Source organism: Homo sapiens, chromosome 10, assembly GCF_000001405.40.
Source record: "Homo sapiens chromosome 10, GRCh38.p14 Primary Assembly".
In the NCBI taxonomy this organism is placed as follows: domain Eukaryota; kingdom Metazoa; phylum Chordata; class Mammalia; order Primates; family Hominidae; genus Homo; species Homo sapiens.
The window spans coordinates 108,287,224-108,314,381 of record NC_000010.11 but is presented as its reverse complement, the minus strand read 5'-3'; the positions used below and the strand labels follow the sequence as shown (position 1 = coordinate 108,314,381).

General features: G+C 35.9%; 1 long non-coding RNA gene and 1 pseudogene across 1 annotated transcript in view, besides 1 other annotated feature; both read right to left on the bottom strand.

Annotated features, from left to right (window-relative positions):
- Nucleotides 11,038-11,117: a silencer, noted in NCBI's record as "silent region_2803". NCBI's record gives its function as "represses an Ori minimal core promoter by ATAC-STARR-seq in GM12878 lymphoblastoid cells {active_cell/tissue: GM12878}" and the evidence as "EXISTENCE:reporter gene assay evidence [ECO:0000049][PMID:35858748]".
- Nucleotides 17,850-18,283, bottom strand: PTGES3P5 (prostaglandin E synthase 3 pseudogene 5; annotated as a pseudogene).
- LOC105378476 (uncharacterized) overlaps nt 19,212-27,158 on the bottom strand; it is a 43,084-nt gene continuing 35,137 nt past the window's right edge. The window contains exon 4 of the long non-coding RNA XR_946307.3: nt 19,212-19,260. This is a non-coding gene — a long non-coding RNA (uncharacterized LOC105378476). The remainder of the gene's footprint in view (nt 19,261-27,158) is intronic.

Below are 27,158 nucleotides of genomic sequence, written 5' to 3'. Positions count from 1 at the left end.
AGAAATAAAATACTTTATAGACAAGCAAATGCTGAGAGATTTTGTCACCACCAGGCCTGCCCTAAAAGAGCTCCTGAAGGAAGCGCTAAACATGGAAAGGAACAACCGGTACCAGCCGCTGCAAAATCATGCCAAAATATAAAGACCATCGAGACTAGGAAGAAACTGCATCAACTAACGAGCAAAATCACCAGCTAACATCATAATGACAGGATCAAATTCACACATAACAATATTAACTTTAAATATAAATGGACTAAATTCTGCAATTAAAAGACACAGACTGGCAAGTTGGATAAAGAGTCAAGACCCATCAGTGTGCTGTATTCAGGAAACCCATCTCACGTGCAGAGACACACATAGGCTCAAAATAAAAGGATGGAGGAAGATCTACCAAGCCAATGGAAAACAAAAAAAGGCAGGGGTTGCAATCCTAGTCTCTGATAAAACAGACTTTAAACCAACAAAGATCAAAAGAGACAAAGAAGGCCATTACATAATGGTAAAGGGATCAATTCAACAAGAGGAGCTAACTATCCTAAATATTTATGCACCCAATACAGGAGCACCCAGATTCATAAAGCAAGTCCTGAGTGAGCTACAAAGAGACTTAGACTCCCACACATTAATAATGGGAGACTTTAACACCCCACTGTCAACATTAGACAGATCCATGAGACAGAAAGTCAACAAGGATACCCAGGAATTGAACTCAGCTCTGCACCAAGCGGACCTAATAGACATCTACAGAACTCTCCACCCCAAATCAACAGAATATACATTTTTTTCAGCACCACACCACACCTATTCCAAAATTGACCACATAGTTGGAAGTAAAGCTCTCCTCAGCAAATGTAAAAGAACAGAAATTATAACAAACTATCTCTCAGACCACAGTGCAATCAAACTAGAATTCAGGATTAAGAATCTCACTCAAAGCCGCTCAACTACATGGAAACTGAACAACCTGCTCCTGAATGACTACTGGGTACATAACGAAATGAAGGCAGAAATAAAGATGTTCTTTGAAACCAACGAGAACAAAGACACCACATACCAGAATCTCTGGGACACATTCAAAGCAGTGTGTAGAGGGAAATTTATAGCACTAAATGCCTACAAGAGAAAGCAGGAAAGATCCAAAATTGACACCCTAACATCACAATTAAAAGAACTAGAAAAGCAAGAGCAAACATATTCAAAAGCTAGCAGAAGGCAAGAAATAACTAAAATCAGAGCAGAACTGAAGGAAATAGAGACACAAAAAACCCTTCAAAAAATCAATGAATCCAGGAGCTGGTTTTTTGAAAGGATCAACAAAATTGATAGACCGCTAGCAAGACTAATAAAGAAAAAAAGAGAGAAGAATCAAATAGACGCAATAAAAAATGATAAAGGGGATATCACCACCGATCCCACAGAAATACAAACTACCATCAGAGAATACTACAAACACCTCTATGCAAATAAACTAGAAAATCTAGAAGAAATGGATACATTCCTCGACACATACACTCTCCCAAGACTAAACCAGGAAGAAGTTGAATCTCTGAATAGACCAATAACAGGCTCTGAAATTGTGGCAATAATCAATAGTTTACCAACCAGAAAGAGCCCAGGACCAGATGGATTCACAGCTGAATTCTACCAGAGGTACAAGGAGGAACTGGTACCATTCCTTCTGAAACTATTCCAATCAATAGAAAAAGAGGGAATCCTCCCTAACTCATTTTATGAGGCCAGCATCATTCTGATACCAAAGCCGGGCAGAGACACAACCAAAAAAGAGAATTTTAGACCAATATCCTTGATGAACATTGATGCAAAAATCCTCAATAAAATACTGGCAAACCGAATCCAGCAGCACATCAAAAAGCTTATCCACCATGATCAAATGGGCTTCATCCCTGGGATGCAAGGCTGGTTCAATATACGCAAATCAATAAATGTAATCCAGCATATAAACAGAGCCTAAGACAAAAACCACATGATTATCTCAATAGATGCAGAAAAAGCCTTTGACAAAATTCAACAAACCTTCATGCTAAAAACTCTCAATAAATTAGGTATTGATGGGACGTATTTCAAAATAATAAGAGCTATCTATGACAAACCCACAGCCAATATCATACTGAATGGGCAAAAACTGGAAGCATTCCCTTTGAAAACTGGCACAAGACAGGGATGCCCTCTCTCACCGCTCCTATTCAACATAGTGTTGGAAGTTCTGGCCAGGGCAATCAGGCAGGAGAAGGAAATAAAGGGTATTCAATTAGGAAAAGAGGAAGTCAAATTGTCCCTGTTTGCAGACGACATGATTGTTTATCTAGAAAACCCCATCGTCTCAGCCCAAAATCTCCTTAAGCTGATAAGCAACTTCAGCAAAGTCTCAGGATACAAAATCAATGTACAAAAATCACAAGCATTCTTATACACCAACAACAGACAAACAGAGAGCCAAATCATGAGTGAACTCCCATTCACAATTGCTTCAAAGAGAATAAAACACCTAGGAATCCAACTTACAAGGGATGTGAAGGACCTCTTCAAGGAGAACTACAAACCACTGCTCAAGGAAATAAAAGAGGACACTAACAAATGGAAGAATATTCCATGCTCATGGGTAGGAAGAATCAATATCGTGAAAATGGGCATACTGCCCAAGGTAATTTACAGATTCAATGCCATCCCCATCAAGCTACCAATGACTTTCTTCACAGAATTGGAAAAAACTACTTTAAAGTTCATATGGAACCAAAAAAGAGCCCGCATCGCCAAGTCAATCCTAAGCCAAAAGAACAAAGCTGGAGGCATCACACTACCTGACTTCAAACCATACTACAAGGCTACAGTAACCAAAACAGCATGGTACTGGTACAAAAACAGAGATATAGATCAATGGAACAGAACAGAGCCTTCAGAAATAATGCCGCATATCTACAACTATCTGATCTTTGACAAACCTGAGAAAAACAAGCAATGGGGAAAGGATTCCCTATTTAATGAATGGTGCTGGGAAAACTGGCTAGCCATATGTAGAAAGCTGAAACTGGATCCCTTCCTTACACCTTATACAAAAATCAATTCAAGATGGATTAAAGATTTAAACGTTAGACCTAAAACCATAAAAACCCTAGAAGAAAACCTAGGCATTACCATTCAGGACATAGGCGTGGGCAAGGACTTCATGTCTAAAACACCAAAAGCAATGGCAACAAAAGCCAAAATTGACAAATGGGATCTAATTAAACTAAAGAGCTTCTGCACAGCAAAAGAAACTACCATCAGAGTGAACAGGCAACCTACAACATGGGAGAAAATTTTCGCAACCTACTCATCTGACAAAGGGCTAATATCCAGAATCTACAATGAACTCAAACACATTTACAAGAAAAAAACAAACAACCCCATCAAAAAGTGGGCGAAGGACATGAACAGACACTTCTCAAAAGAAGACATTTATGCAGCCAAAAAACACATGAAGAAATGCTCATCATCACTGGCCATCAGAGAAATGCAAATCAAAACCACTATGAGATATCATCTCACACCAGTTAGAATGGCAATCATTAAAAAGTCAGGAAACAACAGGTGCTGGAGAGGATGTGGAGAAATAGGAACACTTTTACACTGTTGGTGGGACTGTAAACTAGTTCAACCATTGTGGAAGTCAGTGTGGCGATTCCTCAGGGATCTAGAACTAGAAATACCATTTGACCCAGCCATCCCATTACTGGGTATATACCCAAATGACTATAAATCATGCTGCTATAAAGACACATGCACATGTATGTTTATTGCGGCATTATTCACAATAGCAAAGACTTGGAACCAACCCAAATGTCCAACAATGATAGACTGGATTAAGAAAATGTGGCACATATACACCATGGAATACTATGCAGCCATAAAAAATGATGAGTTCATGTCCTTTGTAGGGACATGGATGAAATTGGAAACCATCATTCTCAGTAAACTATCGCAAGAACGAAAAACCAAGCACCGCATATTCTCACTCATAGGTGGGAATTGAACAATGAGATCACATGGACACAGGAAGGGGAATATCACACTCTGGGGACTGTGGTGGGGTCGGGGGAGGGGGGAGGGATAGCATCGGGAGATATACCTAATGCTAGATGACACGTTAGTGGGTGCAGCGCACCAGCATGGCACATGTATACATATGTAACTAACCTGCACAATGTGCACATGTACCCTAAAACTTAAAGTATAATTAAAAAAATAAAAATAAAAAAAATATATATAATATATAATAGTAATACATAATATATATTATAATATGTAACATGATATATAATCATATATTATAATTATATGTAATATATAATATATAATTATATATTATATATAATACATAATATATACCTATATACAATATATAAATATGATATGTAATTATATATTATAATATAGTATAGATTACTATAATATGAGATTACTATAATATATAATTATATATTATATTGTAAATATATTGCAATATAAAATTATACATCATATATCCAAATATATTTTATATTTATATACATATTTTTTGAGATGGAGTCTCACTCTGTCACCCATACTGGAGTGTAATGGCATGATCTCAGCTCACTATAACCTCTGCCTCCTAGGTTCAAGCACTTGTCCTGTCTCAGCCTCCTAAGTAGCTGGGACTACAGGCACCTGCCACCAAGCCCGGCTAATATTTTTGTATTTTTAGTAGGGACAGGGTTTCGTCATGTCAATTAATATATTTTAAAGTTGTTTATTTACTTTTCTCCACACGTAATTTTATTTTGGACTTCTTTTAAACTTTTTCCTTCTACTTTATCACGTTTATGGTTCCCCCTGCTCTCTTGAATATATGGAACATTTGTATAGTAGCTGTTTTTCTCACTGTTGTCACTTAATTTTATCATCTTTGCCATTTCTGAATCAATTTTATTGAATTATTTCCTTTTAATTATAGTGTTAAATTGTTCTAAGTCTTTTCATGCCTTTAAATTTTTATTGGATTCTGGGTATTTAAAATTTTTGCACCCTGAGTGCTGGGCTCTGTTGTATTCCATTAAATACAATTCATTTTGTTATGGTGTGTAGTTAAGCTACTTGAAATTAGTTTGGTCCTTCCAAGACTGGCTGTTAATTTTTTCTCAGGTTAGTTAAGAATGCTTTTAATTTCAGACTAACTTTTTCCCACAATTAATCCAACACTTATCTGATAATTTTTACCTAATGTTCTTGTATTATGAGTTCTTGTTCCTACGATTGGTAAACACATAAACTATTCCCAGCCCTATTTGAGTGCTGAAAAGGGTCCTGTCTGCTCTATTCTAGTGGCTGTTTCCTCTCACACAATTGCAATTTAATATGCATTTAAGGATTCAAGTGGGGACTTTCAGATCTCCACAACTGTCTTTCCAAGAAGTTCATTCCTCTACAGTAGCCTGCTCTACATATTTGAGCCGCTTTGGGATCCCTGAACTCAAATCATATTTTCTAAATGGAAAAACTCCACCTGGCTCTGTTCGGATTCCCCTTTCCTGCATTGCAGTTAGGAAACTACCTCCAAGAAGTAAACTGGGCAGCCCTATGGCTAATCTCATGTTTTATCTTAGGAATCACAATACTGTACTGTATGTGGTTCAACTTCTGAAGACCTTTGTTTTGTATATTCTAATAGATTTTCCTAGTGTTTTGGCCACAGAAGTGGAAATTCCTTCATTACAACTACATAGTAGAGAACACTCAGTTTTAGGGCCTTTCCATAATATTGTGCAAATAGTTCTAGGCTCATTAGTACTTGATGGTCTGCCAGCTTCATTTACATTGTACAACAGAATCTTCTCCAGCATGGTTATCTGGACTTCCTGCTTTAGGTCACTATTGCCACCATTCACCTCATTTATATAAGTGCCCAGGAACAGCAGATAATTATGGATGGTGCATGCCAAATTCAGAAGACCCCACTAACTTCTCAATAAATGAAATAAACATAAATTAACTATTAAAATTTACAAGACAAGGCGGGGCACGGTGGCTCACGCCTGTAATCCGAACACTTTGGGAGACCTAGGCGGGCGGATCATCTGAGCTCAGGAGTTCAAGACCAGCCTGAGCAACATAGGAAAACTCTATCTCTACTAAAAGTAAAAAATTAGCTGGGCATGGTGGCATGCACCTGTAGTCCCACGGGAGGCTGGGGCATGAGAGTCACTTAACCCGGGGGTTGGAGGTTGCAGTGAACTGAGATCGCGCCACTGCATTCCAGCCTGGGCAACTCTGAGCGAGAAACTCTAAAAAAAAAAAAAAAAAAGGACACTGCATAATTAGAAAACTGTCAAATTACCCATTCTTTATATCACTATAATCTACATGATAAAGAAAGTAATGAGAGTATTTAATGGGATTCTTAGTAGAAAGGGCAGAATTCTTCCACAATATTTTATATATAGTCATGTCAGTATAACTCTTACTATTAGCAATCACCATCTTCCTTTTTTCTTTTCTGCCTGTAAAAATAATGAAAATCAATATAATGTCCACTGAGAAAGTTCTATTCCTCAACAGAAACTCTGTTTTGATTGTTAAAGTTTAATACTTTGTCACACATTATCAAGGGACTTTCTGTGACTCAAAGCCAATGGATAAACCAGGCTTATTATATTGTTGACTTTAGTCCAAAAATGACATATTTTTGTAATTTATTATTGAGTTTATTTTGAGGTCAAATGAAGAATTTCTTAAAACAGTTTTTCTTTTGTTTTACCCAGGCACAAAATCTATAAAGTATTTTAGGCTAAGAATATTAAATAAAATGTAATAGGCTTGAGTTTTCCATAAAACAAAGCTAAGTGGGTTGAAAATTAGGAAAGCTTTACTTCATACTTTAATATCTTAGCAAATCAACTATTACTTGTTTGTAATGGTTCTGTGATATATGAGAAAACCATGACTAGAGTTGGAACAAAAAGTTAATAAGTTAGTATGTGAAGAAATTATTAAAGCCCAATGTCATAGGGAGAATTATCAGTTTTTAGATCTCAGTTTTTAGATCCTGGATCTTAAATAGAAAATAGTTTCAGAATTATCTGACACAAGAAAGCCTTTCCTCTTGCTCTTTGTGGGCTGTCATTTTAATCTACCTTTACTACTCAATGACAGATATCATCAATAATGAATACCAATTAAAGAAAACTGAATCGACAACTATTTTAGAACATTAAGGTGTCATTTTTCTCCTTTGAAATATATATCCTTGCCCCTTATATATCTAAATTTGATATACACTTTAAAACTATGCTCTATTTTCTTCTGATTATTAAAAAAATACCACAGTTAGGGCCGGGCGCAGTGGCTGACACCTGTAATCCCAGCACTTTGGGAGGCCAAGGCGGGCGGATCACGAGGTCAGGAGGTCGAGACCATCCTGGCTAACACGGTGACACCCCATCTCTATTAAAAATACAAAAAATTAGGTGGGCATGGTGGCAGGTGCCTGTAGTCTCAGCTACTTGGGAGGCTGAGGCAGAAGAATGGCCTGAACCCAGGAGGTGGAGCTTGCAGTGAGCCGAGATTGTGCCACTGCACTCCAGCCTGGGTGACAGAGCAAGACTCCATCTCAAAAAAAAAAACAACAAAAAAAAAAACAAAAACAAAAAAAACAGTTATTCTAGCTCCTAGCACATTCCCATAGAATGGGAATTCATTTTAACCAACTAAGTACTTAATTTTTTTTGCTATCCAAGTGTTTGTATTGTCAGGAATGACAATTTGTCTTTACAATAACTGAAAACTGCCATATGGTAGAGCTATTGACATAAAGTGCAAATGCAAGAACTTGATATTCAGCTGGCATACACTGGTCTGGCTCACCAGTTGTTTACTGCTATTGTTCATTCTGATTAATTGAAGACCTATTGCAATGAGTAGGAGCTTGTACCATACTGATTGTGAATATTTGCAATATAATTCCTGGATAGACACAAGATCAGTTTGGGATATGGGTTAAGTTCAAAGTGTCTGCTGAAAATTGTCATAGAGAAATTAAGAAAAGAACGTTGGAAACATGATGCTGGAGGTTTAGAGAGAAACCAGGATAGAGGACATAAGAGCTGGAGTCATTAATATATGGATGGTCCTAGAAGCAAAGGCTAAAAATAGACCATCTAGTAAGAAAATCAGATATTTTAGCCTTCTACTTTCTTCACTTCCTGGTATACAGTGCCTTTGTGTTCCCCCCTTGACCTCTAGCTCCATGGATTTATCTCTTTTTTTTTTTTTTTTTTTTTTGAGACAGTCTCGCTCTGTTGCCCAGGCTGGAGTGCAATGGCACGATCTCTGCTCACTGCAAGCTCCGCCTCCTGGGTTCACACCATTCTCCTGCCTCAGCCTCCCAAGTAGCTGGGACTACAGGCACCCGCCACCACACCTGGCTAATATTTTCTATTTTTAGTGAGACAAGGTTTAACCATATTAGCCAGGATGGTCTCGATCTCCTAACCTCCTGATCTGCCCACCTCGGCCTCCCTGATTTATCTTTTTATTTCATTTGCCCTAACATATATCCCAAGGTCTGCTATTTCAACTGTGTGTCTATGTCCTACCTAGAATCACAGACTCCTTCAACTTTTTCCATTGCTGCATTAACAATGCCTCTAGTTCCATACTCCATGCTCCTCACTTCTCTTTTATTATTTTCAGATGGTATCACTAGTTTCTTCCAATGGAATGACTCCTCCCATGTCTCACCTTTCTTATCCAGTCAGTCATCATTCATATTAAGTCTGACTGCCTGATAGCTCTCATATCTGTAATCTTTTCCCTTTTTATTCCTGCTGTCATTGATTTAGGTTTACCCTTATCACATTTCACTTGGACTATTGCAATAATTTTTTAACTTGTGTTAATGTTAAACACATATGGTATATCCTTCTCCAGTTTTTTCACTAACCCATCACAGAGTAATCTTTCTGAAATATTAAATATGTCATGTTGGTCACTTGTTTAAAATCCTTCAATAAATTCCTTTTGTCTTCATGTTCAAATATTTAGTATGTCAAACCAAGTCTTTCCATTTGAGTCTTGAATATCCATCAGTCTCATCTGCCCATCATCAATTGTCCAACAGTGTACTGTGTTCAAGACATATGAAGCTCTATTTAGTTCTCCTCTCAGTCCTCATTCAGCCCTGTGAATCTTTGTCTGCATGTTTCCATTTGTATGGAATGTTCTTTACTCCTAGACCATCCTATCACACTGGGTAATTTCTACTCATTCTTTGTGACTTACAGCTCATGATCCTATGGAAAAACTTCCTGAAAATCCCAGAGCATATCTGCATCCAAGCACTCAGTATATTTCACTGTGCATGTCCATATATTAGCCTCTCATACCTTCCAAACTCTCAATTATTCAATAGTTTGAACTGTGTCCTATGTATTCTTATATCTCTACTCACACCTTATCTAGTAGAAGTGTGTAATATGTTCTAAATATATGACCATTAAATGTTACTAAACAAATACATGAAATAAAGATTGTTGATGTATGCTTTATCTATGATAAAGCATCTATGATGTATGCTTGCTATCTGTCTATCTATCTGTCTGTCTATCTATCTATCTATTTATCTATCTATCTATCTATCTAGGATATATGCTCTATCTATCCCTCAGCTGCAAAGAATAAAACCCATTCTTATATTGCTAGGTAAATCCACAGATCTGTTTTTGTACCTACTTAAAAGTTTACATTTTTTCATCATAGTCTGCTTCTTCCTACTACCAATACATATTTTTATTTATTTCTTTTTGAATGTTGGATTTATTTTCAGTGATTACTCTTACAAATATTTCCTACTTTTCTTCACCCTCCAGTTTCACTTCTGGACCCTTTATGCTCACGAAATAACATCTCATATGCTTTCTTGGGTCAATATTATATAATATAGCGTTGCCTCTTTTGGTTGTCTTTAAATACCTATGTTTCATCTACTACCACCTTTTTATCTTGTGTGATTAGTTCTTGCCTATCTTTCACTGGCCTCTTGGACAGCTTCTTTTCATACTCATCTCTATATTTTTAATAGTTTTCCATGCCAAATGGAGAGCAACAACAAAATAAACATTAACATCAAACTATTTGTTTCTCCTCCTAAGGGACATTTCCTCTAATTGGATGCATCTGTAAGTTATTTTGGCCTTTTTTTCTTTTCTGTGCTATAGAAATTTCAAAAAAACAGCTTAAAATAGCTCACATTTCTTCTCCCTCCACCATGAAATTCTTGTGTTTGCATAGTAATTTAGTTTTTTTTTTTTCTTTTTCTTTTTTAACGGAGTTCCGCTCTGTCACCAGGCTGGAGTGCAGTGGCAGGATCTCGGCTCACTGCAAACTCCACCTCCCGGGTTCAAGCAATTCTTCTTCCTCAGCCTCTCAAGTAGCTGGGACTACAGGTGTATGCCACCACGCCCAGCTAATTTTTGTATTTTTAGTGGAGACTGGGTTTCACCTTGTTGGCCAAGCTAGTCTCGAACTCCTGACCTCAAGTGATCCACCCACCTTGGCCTCCCAAAGTGCTGGGATTACAGGCGTGAGCCACTGCATCTGGCCAGCTTCTTTAATATTAATACTCTACATATTTTCCCAAAGACCAATTCTAAAAGCCCTTTCTTGATGGCATTTTGCTGGACCTCCTGGCACCAAGCTGCACCAAACCTTTGCCTTGTTGTGCCCCTACTTCCCTGTCCATTCCTTTTGTACCTTTCACTGGCTTCTCTGTTTTTTTCCACTGACTTCTTTTCCAACTTAAGCTCCTTAAGTATTTTCCAAAATTGTTTAGCATTTCTAGGAAATGTTATCTATTCCCCAGCTCTAACATATCTATACTAATGACTTGCAGATCTACATCTGTAGCCATGGTCTCTATCCTAAGTTGCAGCCGCGCTATTTCAAGCACATATTAAGTTCCTGAAACCAGTGACTAATCAATGCTTCATATGACAAATTTGGGTTCAACTCTGACTCATTTGCTGTCTCCACGTGCTATCAGTTTTGAAGTTCTTTAGATTGTTGCCTCCACATTTTTCTTTCATTTAAAGCTTCACTTTCAGTTCCCCTGAACATGTCCTAACTCAGGGACCCAATACTACTTATCTACAGTAGTCTCTGTACTTTTAGGCTTCTCCATCCTAGAAAACCGTATTTCTCTACCGGATTATTTTCTTACTTTTAGAGCCCTCTTATTACCACTCCCTTAAAAATGTTTTGTAACAATTCATTACTTGCATTTTGATAAAAATATATTTTAAAAAGAATATTCTTGAACCTTAAATTAACAGGCTCTCCATATTGAGGCCCTAAAGTCATAATGTGCCTGTTGTACACTACTTTCTGTCACTGCAGTAGAACTGACTGCTCAAAATTCCCCAAATAGGTTTCATAAATTCTTATTAATGATATCCCTGAGCCTACAAAACTTCAACTATTCCTCTACCTATTGTTTCTTTTCCTTCTCCATGGCCAAATTAAGGGATGCCCTCTGTCTGTTTGAAACTTTCTGTGTGATTCTACTCCCAACAACTATAGTATTTTCTTATTTGTCCCTCTTCCTGACTGACTGACCTTCCTTCCTTCCTCTCTCTTTTCTTTCTTGTTACACCACAGTATTTAATTATCTTTTGTGAACTTTTTGTTTGTTTGCACCACAATCAGTTATGTATATCATATCCTACTGAAGTGCATATTCCTTAAACACAAGACCTCATTCATATATAGATAATACCTGACTAATGTCGATAGAAGAATGTCAACAAGTGAATAATGTGTTTATCACCTTTTCCAAAAATCATTCGTGTCTTCATCATTTCGATTCTATTTCCTTTAATAGGGATGAAGAAGATTATGAAAAAGTAGGCCATTTTCTGGCAAAACACCAATTTAAATGTCAAATGGTTAAAAGTTAAATGTAACCTTAACCAAACAAAAGAACTATATCCTTAAATATCTCACAGAGTTATTGATGGATTTCTTTTTGTGGATTTGAAAAACTAAATAAATAAGAAAGAGAAAAATAGCATGGTGTGATCAATTTCTAAGAATGGGTTTAGAAACTGTTCACACTTAAATGCATAAACAAATTAAAAGCAAACAGCAAACCAGAAATAATGTTTGAATAAATTAATGATAATATTAATATTTAAAGACATTTTTAAAAAAACAAAAAGTACCTACATATTAAAGCCAGAGGAAAATGTGTGATTTATAAATCATATAAGTGACACTAATGAAAACAAAAATTTAATTCTTTTGGTTTATTAAGTAAAACTAATTCAAGAATTCTTAGGTTTGGTTTTTTTTTGTTTTGTTTTTACCTTGCAAATAACAAATAATGAAAAGAATGATAAATTTCAATATTGGTTAGGGTGAAGCAAAATGGGCTATTACGCTCCTGACATGATTTTACACTGGCCCAAACTTTCTAAAATGTAATTTGGCATTTTATATAAAAAAATCCTTTAAAAAGTTATAGCACATATTTACTCATGTAGGAATCTAATCTGTGTTTAAGTGTAAGAAAAATTTGTTACACACACAGTTTTTTTACTTCAAAAAAATTAGAATTAATCTATTACATATTGAGAAATGGTTAAATACATTTCAATATGTTTAAATATTACTACACCAAAGAACAGACTATCATGCAACACTCACAATCTTCTTTTCAAATATACTAAGTGAAGAGACACACATTTATAGTGTCAAATAGAGAAATGAATATGTACATTTATATGTCACTACCATAATTATAAACCACACACATGCAAAACCACAAAATCACAAAATAAATGGAATATCATGTTGGTTTCTCTGATGTATGATTAGGAGTGACATAATCTGTACTTTTCCTTTTTTTTCTTTCTAAAATCTGGAATCATCACCATAATTACCATTTTAAATTAAACATGTGTAAAAGAATTGCATGTTTATTTAGGTGTTACTCTTAGCATGTCATCTGTCATCATTGGAGAGTAACTTCATAGTATAGGAGGGGAAACAGGAAAAGAAGGTAAAATTATTTGCTCAAGCAATTTGGTGCCTGCAAGTAAGGCGAAGGAAGTGTGTATCAAAGGTTTCTCTTCTCTTCTCCCCCATTATCACAAATTATGCTGACACTTGACTGAACCCACAGGTGCTTATTAGCATGTTAGCCTGCTGTGCATTTGCCAGTCTCAGCTGAAGTCCTACTAGACAGATAAACATTCTTAAATGAAAAATTCATTGTTTTTTCTGTTACATTCAGCCAAGTTCAATTCGTGGCACTGACATTTGCTGGCTTAGAGGTCTTAGGCAATTAACGTAATCTCTCTAAGCTTTACTTTCTGCAACTTTAAAATAGATGAAAATATCTATTTGTATCAGACAGGATATTTTTAGTTGCAGGTTACAGAAAATACAACTCAGATTAAACAAAGGACTGTATTAGTTGATAAATGTGAATGTAGGCATCAATCACAGAACTATGGCTCTGCATTTTTCCTAGCTTTACCATATTCAATGTGTCTGCATTGTCCTCAGCATGACTCTCCTAATCATTGCAAGGTGCCTTTATTCAACTAAAGGGAGAGTGCCTATAATTCCCTACAACCATCAAACAAACGCCGTGAGAGCAATCAAGGTCCACTCTCAGGGTGTGGTAAAAGTAGGGAGTCAATGCCATCGAACCATGTAGCTGGTATATCAAGAGGAAGAATTTGAATAAATTTGTGGAGGAAATCTCAATGTTCATGACAGCACTTCATGAGGTGATCATAAGATTAAAAGCAATACTGCATGTAAATCATTTAGTAACGTACATTGTTCTGAGTACATGGCTGTAAACAAGTTGTAGAGTGGGCACTGCTGTAAACAAGAAAACTACAACTTTCCTCATATAGTTCCTTTGTGCAAGATCCTGCATAAATTACCTATAACTCACCTCTTCAAATTAAATCTCCTCTCCCTACTTTTTCAATCTATTTCTTTAATTTAACTCCCTTACCCTTATATGATGTCTCTCTTATTCTTCTCCAGCAGCCACTTCTCTTGGAGATTTCTTTGCTTCTACTATGACCTTTCCTGGAATACCCTTCTATCTCCTCTCTGATATTCACATTGCTCCCATTCTTTGAGAAGTTCAGAAGTTTTCAAAAGTCCATAAAAGCAGGGAAATGTTGCCTACTCCAACCTCTTTCTGGTCGCTTTTTCTTCTCTGAACACCTAGAATAATTACAAGGTGTCTTGTGCTAAATGTGCCTCAACTTATTTTTCTCTTGTTTTTCTGTTATTGTTCTCTTAGCAATGTGTGTGTGTTGCTATTCATTGTCTCAATGAGTATTTAATTGGGGAAATTTGGTTCATCATCATGTGCTTCTTTGATCTCCAAAAGAGGAGTCTCATGTTAGCCATGAAGTGGACATTCAATAAATTCTCATTTATGTGATGACAAAAATGATCTCTAGCAATGATCAATATCTATTTATGTGCAGGCACTTCAGTAAGCACTTTACAGATGTAATACTATTTACTTAATATTACGGCACCATTATTATCCTAATTCCACAAATGATGAAACCAAGGTTTCAAGGAACAAATGTGTTTCTCAGTCACAGAGTTCTCAACTGGCAGTGGCTTCCACCTGCCCTAGTAATAACAACAGTGGACTGTCATTTAAGGCTGTTATTTTCACAATTGTTGTACTGAAAAATCCTTCATTCTTTAACGTCAGTGGGGACCCCAAAGAGCTCTTGTTTATGTGGTTTATATCTCTATCAACACTCAATCTATTATACAGTAAAACTGAGATTTTTTAAAAAACTGCTTATTAATACTTATCAATTTATAATTATGTGTCACATGATGTTGCAGGGCAAAAGAGTGAGGTTAGTGATCAACTCAGTGTATCACTGGAAGCTATATGAGTAAATAGTAGACTGTTCTCATGAATGCAGAATGTTGGGAAACTGACAAACTGCATCTGCCACCCAGAAGGAATGCTGAGGGCAGTCACGCCCCAAGTGCAGTATTGCTTGTGATTAGGCACATCTGAAGCCTGTTAGCAATAATATGAACCCATGATCAGTTAAGCAGCTGACCAATCATTACCTCCTCCTGGCTGCTCTTTCTGCCCAATAAATACAAAGGGCTGTAGAAGCTCAGGGTGGCTGCTGCCTTTGCTCACTAGAAGCAGGGAGCCCTTCTTCTTCCCCAGACCCCTTCTCTAAAACAGTTTCTTTTAAGTTTTCATTTCTGCATTTGTCCCCCTTCATTCAGTCCCATAGTAACCATGGCAAACCGTGGGAACATGACATTGCAGTTAATGATGGACTGCATATGTGATGGTGACCCCATAAGATTGTAATGGGTTGCATATACAGGGGTATCATTTTAAATATTTTATACCCTATTTATTGTAACTTTTCATGTTTAGATACACAAACACCATTGTGTAACTATTGCCTACAGCATTAAGTGCAGTGACATGATATATAAATTTATAGCCTAGGAGGAATAGGCTATACCATATAGCCTAGGTGGGTAGTATAGTAGGCTATTACATCTTTTTGTTGTTGTTGTTCTTTTGAGGGAGGTGGGGAATCTCACTCTGTCACGCAGGCTGGAGTGCAATGCCTCAATCTTGGCTCACTGCAACCGCCGCCATCCAGGTTCAAGCAATTCTTCTGCCTCAGACTCCCGAATAGCTGGGACTACAGGCACATGCCACCAAGCCTGGCTAATCTTTGTATTTTTAGTAGAGACGGGGTTTCACTGTGGTGGCCAGACTGATCTCAAAGCCTTCAGCTCAGGTTATCTGCCCACCTTGGCCTCCCAAAGGGCTGGGATTACAGGCATGAGCCACCGCGCCCAGCCTATACCATCTACTTTTGTGTAAGTACACTCTGTGATGCTCACAGAATGACAGAGTTGCCTAATGGCCACTTTAACTGTGGACAATTTTATCACCTTTGCTTAAAGACAATAGACAAAGACTAATGTTCACAGTGGGAAAGAACTTTTAGCAAATATGAGTCATAGTTTATATATTTATGTTCTTAATAATTGTATGAAATACATATGTATTTAGGTAAGTTAGTCTTGTGGAGATCCTGCAGTATAACCGTGAATTTCAAATGATCATCATTTGCTGTTGTTACAAATAACAACAAAGAATCTAGTTTAAATTTATAACACTTGAGAATTATCAATGGAAATGTAAACATAATTCATAAATGATAACACGTGGTTCTTTCTGGCTTCACATTCAACTAACTTCATCCCAAGTTATTTTTATTAAAAACATCTATAAAGTGTCAGTACCTTTTATTGAAATATATATTTTATAGTCAAAATACAAACAATTGAGTTTTCTTAGAGTCACTTTTATCTCACTTTATCTGAGCTTAACAAATTCTAAGAGAATAAACAGAAAAACATTAATAGATAAGTAGCTAGAATATTTAGGACAACCCAAACTATGCAAATACAGCATTTATAGGTTTGTACTCTAAAGAATCTAAGTGAATTGTTCCCTTAGAGGAGCAGCCTCAGGTAGAATTAAACAAGAGGAATAATAATGAACAGAGTCAGGTGAAAACTAAAGGACTGAAAATTAGAATCACCATATTTACTGAAAATGGATCCATCTTCTGTTAGCTGTAACAATAAAGAAAATATTCAAGTGGGAAAAGTACTCAGGAATGGAAATGAAGACCCTGCCTTTTGAATAAGAATAAAGAACACTGTGCTTCTTCAACTGTGGCATTTTCTCCCCTCTCTGACAAAGACAAAGGTCAAATTTTAAATTTAGAGATATAGTGATAATTGCATATTGTGGATACCTCTGTTCGAATATGCTCCGTGATTAAAAAGTAGAACATGTTAAGTTTACCTGAGTGTATGTATTGAGGGAGAAAGTGTGGTTGTGTAAGAAGAGGGATATTCTAACACTGGATGCTTTTTTAATTCTTCTAATAATTTATTATAAAAATGTAGACATGAATAAATATCTCCACTGTTATGAAAACAAACTGAGGTGTTTCAGCCTTGATGTAAGCTTAATAGAAAGATGAAAAAGATACAATATCGTATCAACCTTTTAAATCTCTCATTTTCCATATCAATAGTGAAATTACAAATTTGGTTCTAAATATACAGACTTTCCAGCAATAACATAGTTTATCTTTGTACCCCATGCTCAAAGTTGTCAAAGCTTAAGGGTCAAACCATACTAAATGTACAGGATTCACAACCATGTAAGTTAGGATATTCATTAGTTTTAATTATTATGTATCTGCAACACTGATAAGTGACTCTTATGTAAAACAAGGTGTATTTTTTTTATAAAACTAAAATTGTAGTGGAAAAGTCCTGAAGGATACCCTAGAGGAACAATAGGTTGCCAGTTTAAAGTGTCAGGTAATTTGTTTCACAACTTTTAAGTCCATTTTCTGAAGTCTAAAATTTGGTTATCTTTCCATATGCTGAGAACTTTCTACATGCCCATATCTATGTTGGGAAGTTAAGAAGACTTAGAAAAAATGTTTTTATTTATTACAACTGTGATATCAATTGCCTAGGACCTCAACAATCTCATAGAATGGAAATGTTTATGTGTAAGGTTATTGCCTGAACTGATTTAAAATTATCCTACACAATATAAAGTTGTCCCATTCAACCCTTGGTGAAGACCTTTAAAAAACAAACAAGTTGAAAAATGGGTTAAAGGGGAGAAATACAGCTTCTACCATTATAGCTATCAACTCAGAAATTCTCTCAATTACGGAATCTTGCAGAAAATTTGCTTCTTTTTCTCACAATCCTGGTGACAGCAATATTCCTTACTCCAGATTTGGCCTTTAAAATCATCATTGGATCATCATCTGTTCCCTCTACTTCTGGTAAATATACATCCTTATCACCACCCATGTTTATCGTCTCAGAGAAATGGTCAGAATTAAACATATCTAAATCATCTTTCTTTTCTTTCCAATTATGTGAGTCAACACTAAGCCAAACATGCTTTGCTCTTTTGTTAACCTTGGCCATGACTGCCCAGATTCCCCTTTTCACAAACATAGTGTTGACCCATCTGTTCTTTTATGCTTGGAAACATTTGGATCTACCCAATGAAAAAGATAATTTCATTGAAATGTTTACAATGATTAACTTTCTCCAAGAGAAATGCAACTTTGGATTTTTCAAAATGTATATTAACATCATTTCTGTGTTCAACACAAAATTCAGCAATGGCAGAGGGCCTCATGGGGCTCTATAGAAACACCGCCATCACTCATCTTTCTGGTGATACCACCACAGGTGGACTTGTCCAAGGCCTTTTCTCTGTACCACAGAACCCCAGAACCGAAGTGCTCAAGAAGCCAAATGGCAATCCCAAACAGCCCATGCCTCCAGGTCACCGCAGGGGGAAAGGCTCACAGGAGATTAAGGCCTAAGGATTGTGAATGAGGCAGAGAGAGGATTGAACGTGTGACTAGTCTTCTCTGGAAGCAGAAACTAGGAGGTTGCATCTTATACAGAGGAGACTCCAATGTTTTCTTCCTGGTAGTGGCCTCTTTCAACTTCCTTTGGACAATAACGGCCAACTGGATTGACCTGCATCCCCAGAATGCACCTCAGGGAGAGCCATTCCCCCCACGGGGAGAAACAGAAGCACAGGAAAAGGGGCTATAGGGCAGAGATCAAATGTGCATGCATGTCTGCCAGTGAGGAGTAGTGAGACCCCAAAGCTACCTTTTCTATTAAATATTTTACAGTGTGGAAGGAGAAATATCTGAGGACATTAGTTTGTCATGCACAAATATTGATATTGCTGGCTTCATCCCAAAAAGGGGCTTCCACTAATCCACAGATGCTACTCAATTTCCCACCAACCTGTAATCTAAACAAACCTATCTGCAGTGTGTTTAAGAAGTGTAGTTACCAAATCACAGTACTATCCTGGTTTTAGTTACTGAACTCTTGAGTTGTCCATATTCCTCTTCAAATGGGCACAGATTTCAGATCATTTTATGTCCTGTTTCTTTCCTGAACTTCAAGTTATTTCTGGTTCCATTTGAAATGATCTTCCTCTGAACCCAACAATTTTAAACTGTTGCCCATTTACTGATCTGGACTGAACTGATCACAGTTTGTTCTCTGTGCCTCCTGCTTCTCGACTCCATTACATTTTTCCAATCCTAGTAGATGTTCACATACAAACTGTAAGATAAAGAAAGTAGCTTCAGATAAGGGTTATCTACACTGTAGTAGGGGTTTCCTTTTAGGATTGTTCCCAAATGTGAAAAGATAATTTTCCTAAAACATCTGAAATTCAAAATGAGGGAAACCATCTACCTTTAAAGATCTTTCTGATTTTATGACATAATCCCTAGCATAGAAAAGAACTGGTGTTTGTTTGTTTTAATTTGCTTTTCCTTTGCTCTTGGAATGTTTACGTTTCTTGCACTGTTGGCTAAATGAAAGAAGTATTTTTGTTTCCTGTAGTAAAAATTCACCCCAGAATGAGATTCAGGTTGATAAGAATCCTCTGAACAGGTCACCAATCTCAAACCCTGAAGTTTGACTTCACACTTTCACAGGATTTCCAATAAAATAGACGTGTTTATCCCTAAGAAAAAGGTACTCATATTTCATAAGAACTAAGCTAGAGAACAATGTTATTAGAAAATAATAATGTTTTATAAAGCCCTTATTTGAGCAAAACCAGTAAATTTAGGTAGTATTATGTCTAGTTATGAAAGGAGTATGGATGAGATTAAAAACTTGAGGCTAATATTTTTAGTTGTTGAGTCATAAAATATGAAATTAATCTGTATAAAAAATAGACCAAATTCTCATCTCAGAATTATTTTTTCCTACAGCTGTGACTTGTGTTAGCAAATAGTACAAGAAATAAATACCTACATACAGAAGAGTTCATGTGCCACAAATCCTATGTTTACTTAAGGATACCATTAGCAGAATTAAAGGCGTCTCTATATATGGAAAAAAATGGTATTTTCTGTATTTATAAACAACAAAAGGCTTTGCTTTCCAAGAATGTATGAAGAACTTCTGATAAATAAAAAAAATGCAATAGAAAAATAGATAAGAAATTTGAATAGTCACTTTAATGATATCAAAATGGATAATAACTATATGAAATATTATCAACTTGAAATGGCTACAGTTAAAAAGTTTGTCAATACCAAATGCTAGTAAAGATGTAGACCAGCAGAAACTCATAAACTGCTCAGAAGCATTTATATTAGTACAATCAGTATTGAACATATGTATAAATTATGATCCAGCATTTCATTACTGACATATAAAAACAGAATACATACACCTTTTTAACCAGAAGACATGTACAAGAATGTTCAAAGTAGTACTATTGTATCTCCCAAATCGGAATAAAAATGAAAATGCTCATTTAAATTAGAATGCCTAAATAAGTGTCTTTATATTCACATAAGAGAATACCATATTTCAATAAAAATGAGTAAATCTCCTATATATGTAACCACTTGAGAAAATCTCACCAATATAATATTAAGCAAAAATAGCCAAAGACAAAAATAATGCAAAATGTATCATATCTTTTAAAATTCAGAAGAGGCAAAAACTATCAATTGTATTCAAAGTAAAAATTAAGTGTAACTTTGTCAAGAACAGAGTGAATGATGATTAGGACAAGACAAAAGAAAGTCTGAGAGGAGATGGATAAATAAGTGTGTTCATCATGCATTCATTCATTAAACTGTGTACTTATGATGTATACATTGTTGTATCTTTGTTACTTTTTAAGAAAAAGTGGTATTCTGTTATGGAAGAAGATAATGGATGTTATATAAGCAGCTGGCATGAATTGCTACAAAACCTCTACCCCACTGCAGAACAATATTTAGTGGATAATGAATCTCAAGTTTCTACCTCTAATACTAGGAACTTATCTTCCATTTTACTTCAAATTCTTCCACTTGATGAATGATGAAAGGGGCTTTGGGAATCCAGCAGGATAAGATCTATGGGTTGATGAGAAGTGCTCTGTGAGGTCTCTCCTGATTATTCTAATCTAAACTACGTAGCCACAGTTGCCACCAGCCTGGTTACCTCCCTTCATTTACCCTACTTTATTTTTATTCATTGCACTTATTACCTTAAATGTTGCCATTTATGTATTTACTTAGTTACTTATTTCTTGCCTGCCTTCCTGACTGGAATATAAATCTTGATAGAACATGAATTTTTTTCTCATTCACCATTCTATACCAAGCACATTGACATGTTTAATGAATGTTTATGGAATAAATGAAGAAAAGAAGGAATAAATAAATGAAGTGAGAAGGCCTGAGGGTTAGAAGATGTAAAGATAAGAGCTTGGGGATAGAAGGGAGTCATGGGGTAGAGAAAAAAAAATGTGTCAAAGTTGTCTCTTCTTTATTTCTGCTATCAGTTTTGCTAAAATAAAGCCTTCCCTGGATAGAGATGAGCAAGCAGGTTTATGGTGGGAGGAGGGAGGGGGGTGTAAAATCTATAGCAGCAGCAGCAGACAGATGAGAAACCAAAGTGGCATAGTGGGGCATGCAGGCAGAAAGAAAATCCCCGTGCCTGTCTTGGGCAGTTTTGGGGAGGGCAGGGGGTTTCAGTCATATTTAGGGATATTAAAGGTCCAGTGACCATCTATGTCAGGCTTCCACTCAGTGGAGACACTTGACTATGAATGATTGTGAAGGCAATTGAAGCATGGTAGCCCCGGTATGTGCAGCCAGAGAACAAACACATATGAAAAGATCTATGACTGGAGGAAAAAAATGATACATATAAAAAGATCTACGATGGGCGAAAAAAAATGATCTTGGGGAAGATAAGACAAGAGTCCAATAAGTTCACCAAAAGATCCTGCAATCTTATGAAAAATTGAGTATGGAGACCAGCAAGGAAGCCAGTGGTAGTCATCTCCAAGAGAGCTATTGGACAGTGCCTTGGGAAGGAGTCTCCTAGGCTACAATTCACAATTCATGGGCCCAGGTAACTAACCTCCCAGTCACTTAGCCAGAGGACACTGCAGGTGTCAAGTCACTCTTCAGTTTTCAGGAACTTACTACTCCCTCTCCTCTTTAGCTTTGGGCCATCACCTTTTCTATGAAAGTATTTTGGAAAGAGAGATATCTTTATTTTTTATTTTGAACAAAGAGGAATCTAAAAGGCAAAATGATATTTTTCATAAAAACAGCAAAAATCTTTTAGCTGAAAAAAATACTAAAAATTAAAGGCAAAACATTACCATCTCTCTCTTAGAAGTGCGTTTTGAATCATTTAATTCATGTCATACATTGAATCTAGTGATAAGACCATTTACTGTATAGATGGCTACATGCAATTTTAAGCCACAGTAACTTCTTTTCTCTCTGGAGCTGAAGGCAATCATAACTGCAAACTGTAATCTGTTCTCTCCTATATAACATGTGAAAAGCATTGGCCATGTTTATCAGGGAAATAAACTGAAGAAGAGTCGTCTGCTGTGTCTGATATGTATCTTCATATTAATATTAGGCTGATATTGTTTAATAGCGGATGTCATTGCGCTAATTCTGTACTCCAACCAATTGTTAAAGTGGCAGCAACAGCTATTCAAGGAAAACTAATATTTAATAGTTGTTTCTCCAACCCCTCCTTAGAGCTTTTTAAGACTATTTTTTAAAAGCCGATTTCCAGGCAGGGTGCTGTGGCTCATGCCTGTAATCCCACCACTTTGGGAGGTCGAGGCGGGCAGATCACGAGGTCAGGAGATCAGGACCATCCTGGCTAACACGGTGAAACCCAGTGTCCACTAAAAATACAAAAAATTGGCCGGGTGTGGTGGCAGGCACCTGTAGTCCCAGCTACTTGGGAGGCTGAGGCAGGGGAATCGCTTGAACTCAGCAGGCAGAAGTTGCAGTGAGCCAAGATCACTCCACTGCTCTCCAGCCTGGGCAATAAAATGAGACTCCATCTCAAAAAAGAAAAAAATATTATTTCCAGTTATAGATATCACGGACTATACAAGGACATAGTTTCAGAATTAGAATTTTCCCTTGCCATCATCATTATTTGTCATAAGAAAACTCTTATCTTAAAAACTCTTATCGTAAGGCATGATTAAAAAGCAGCTGATATTAATACTGTTTATTGTTAGTATCATGATACCATAATCCTCGTAATAACATCATTGGCATAGTCTATAGAAGTTATAATGGATACCAGGCCTATCAGAAATATCACACTGTGAGAAACTAGTTTAAAATGAAAGCGAAATCTTAAAAATTGAAAAGACATTTTCAGAACAATCAGACAGAAGATTAGGAAGGAAACAGAAGACTTAAACAACTCTGTAAACCAGCTTGACCTTACGGACATATATAGAACACTAGAGCCATCAAAAAACAAAACAAAACAAAACAAAACAACATAATATATACATTCTTCTCCAGCACACATGCATGGAACATTCTCCAGAGTAGACTATATTTAGGCCATAAAACAAGCCTTGGCAAAATTTAAAATGATTGAAATTATGCAAAAAATGTTTGCTGACAACCAGAAAATGAAATTAGAAATCAATATTAGAGGAAAACTTGAGGGTCTCACAAATACATGGAATTAAATATTACTCCTAAATAATTAAAGAACCAGTCACAAAGGAATTAGAAAGTACTTTGAGATAAATGAAAATGAAAACATAGTATATCCAAATTTAGAATATTCAGTGAAATTTATAGCTATAAATGTTTATATTTAAAAAATTAAAATCTAAAATGAAAAATTCTAAACTTAAATCTTAACTTTTTCAGTTACACACTAAAAAAGAAGAAAAAGCAATCTAAAGCAACCAGAAGTAAGAACACAGTAATTATAAAAGCAAAAGTAAATAAAAAATAGAAAAACAATAGAGGAAATAAAGACAAATAAGTCAGTTCTTTGAAAAGGTTAAAAAAATTGACAAATCAACCAAAAAATAGATGAATTGGACTCCATCAAAAATAAAATATTTTATCCTTCAAAATGGACATCCAAGAAAGTGAAAGACAAGCCTCAGAAGAAGAGAAAATATTGTCAAATCATGTGTCTGTTATGCATCAGGCATCAGGATTATAGTCATGCATTGTTTAATGACATTTTGGTCAATGATATAATGCCTATACAATGATGATCCCATAAGATTATAATGGAGCTGAAAAATTCTAATTGCCTCATGATATCATAGCCATCATAGCATCATAGCACAATACATTTCTCACATGATGTGGTGATGCTGGTGTAAACAAATCTGTGCTGCCAGTTATATAAAAGTATAGCACATACATATGTACAGTATATATGTACAGTGTATCATATTTGATAATGATAATAAATGACTGTTACTGATTTATGTATTCACTATATTATATTTTCTATTGTGATTTTAGAGTTCACTCATTCTACTTATAAAAAACTTAACTGTAAAATAGCTTCAGGAATATTCTTCAGGGGATATTTTAGAAGAAGGCATTGTTATTATAGAAGATGGCAGCTCCATGCATGTAATTGCCCCGAAGAGCTTCCAATGGGACAAGACATACAGTGATATTGATAATCCTGTTCCTGTGTAGGCCTTGGCTAATGCCGTGCTTGTGCCTTAGTTTTTAATAAAAACAGTTTAAAAAGTTAAATAAGAATATTAAACATAGAAAAAAGCTTAAAGAATAAGGATGAGAAAAACATTTTATGCAGCTGCAGAATGTGTTTTAAGCTAAGTGTTATTGCAAAAGATACAAAGGTTTTTTTAATATTTATAAATAAAAAGGTAACAATAAGCTAAGGTTAATTTATTATTGAAGAAAGAAAAATAGTTTTATAAACACAGTGTAGCCTAAGCACAGTGTTTATAAAGTCTACATTTTTGTACAATAATGTCCTATGTCTTCACATTTACTCAATACACACTCACTGACTTACCCAGAGCAAGCAACTTCCAGTCCTGTAAGCTCTCTTCATGGTAAATACTATAGAGAGGTATACAATTTTTCATCTTTCCTTTTTTTAACCACATTTTACTGTACCTTTTCAATGTTTAGATGATTAGATTCACAAATACTTAACCATTGTTTTACAATTGCCTACAGTACTCAGTACTGCAACATATTGTACAGGTTAGCGGCCTAGGTACAATAAGCTATAACATAAACGTTAGATGTGTAGTAGGCTATACTAAGTTGGTGGAAATACACTCTACGATGTTTTCACAGGGACTAAATTGCCTAAAGATGCATTTCAAAGAACATATTCCATTATTAAGAGTTGTATAAGTATATATAAAGAACACTTACAACTGAACAACAAAAAGATAAATAATTAGAAATTGAACAAATAATTTAAATAGACTTTTTCCAATATAAATATACTACTATCCAATAAGCAAATGTAATATTAATGTTTAGAGAAGTTCAAAACAAACCCACAATGAGATACCACTTCACATCTGCTATGATGGCTATGATAAAAAAGGTGGATAATAGGAGTTGAAAAAATGTGGGAAAATTGGAACCCTCCTGCATTGGACGTGCAAATGTAAAATGGTCCAAGCACTTTAAAAACATTTTGGCATTCCTTCAGAAAGTTAAAAATAAAATCATTATCCCATCAATTTCATTCCTATTTACATTAACAAGATAATTGAAAACTTACTCAAATACCAGTAAACAATTTCCACAGCAGCCTTATTCATAATAATGAATTTTTTTCATATAGTAAACATAAGAAAAATGTCCATCAACTGAATGGATGAAAAAATGATATATTCATATAATGGCATATTATACTGCCTGATTAAAAATGAGTGAAGCAATGTTACAAGCTACAATATGAATGACACTTTAAAACACTGCACTGATTTAAATAACCAGATACAGTGAGATTTCATTTATATGAAGTACCCAGAAGAAGCAAATCTATAGAAAAAGAAAGTAGATAGGTGTTCACTAGAAAATAGAGTAAGAGAGTATAGTGGATGTCCATTAATGGTTGGTTTCTTTTGCTGCTGATGAAAATATTCAAGTTTCACATAATGTTGATGGTTTAATAGCCATGGAAAAATTATAAAATAGCAGTGTGTATAACATGCACAATATATCTCAATGAAAATAATACATAAATAAATTCCTTTTATAAAATAAAACAATCCCTCTGCCTGTGTTCTGCATCCTGTTTCTTCTCATCTTCTTAAGAACCCCAAGCTTTCATTTATTTCCTACTTCTCTCATTTCTTCAAACATTCCCTCTTTATGCAACACAGCATTTAAACATACTGAAACCACTTTTTGCTTGGAACATCAGCAAGATGGTAGCATAAGAAGGCCTGGACCCTCCTTTCCCCTACAAACATACCTATTCAGCAAAAATTTATGAACAAATTATCTTTGTGAGAAATCTAGAAACTAGTAGAACCAGAGTTCTCTTAAATTCTGGATGAGAACAAAACTACCCAAATTGAAGGGAGTAGGGATAATTTAAACACCATATTACTATACTCCTTACCTTTGGCACAGTGCCATACAATTAGGAGGAAACCCCCCAACACTCAGCTTCTTCCTGAGGAAGGAAAGAGTAGACTGCATCCAATGACCTAACTTTTCTGGGAGCTAACCATAGGAGTGCCTTCTGTCTAGCCCATCTTGCAGCACTGATGGGATCTGAAATAACCTAGCCACTTAAGAGAGAACAGAGGCAGTGGTTTAAGCTGGCAGTCACTAGAGCTGCTCCTTTCAGCTCAATGGAAGAAAATAACCTAACTTCCAGCTTCTCCATGAGGAGGGAAAGAGATGGGCTGTGTACCTTTTACCCTACATTTCCAGGGTTACTCAGAGAACTGGCTTCAGTCTAGTCTGTCTCAGAGTGTTGATAGGACCCAACATAATCTAGCCACTTGGGGGTCAGTGAGAACAGAGTTAATAGTTGGACCTAGTACACAACTAGCCGCCACAGCCCTTCCCCACTAGTGAATCCATAGCAAAAAGGTAATATCTCAACTCCAGATACTAACTTCTCTTTGGGGAGGGAGCGATTTGGGCAGAGTATCCAAAAATTTAAATTTGAGGGGG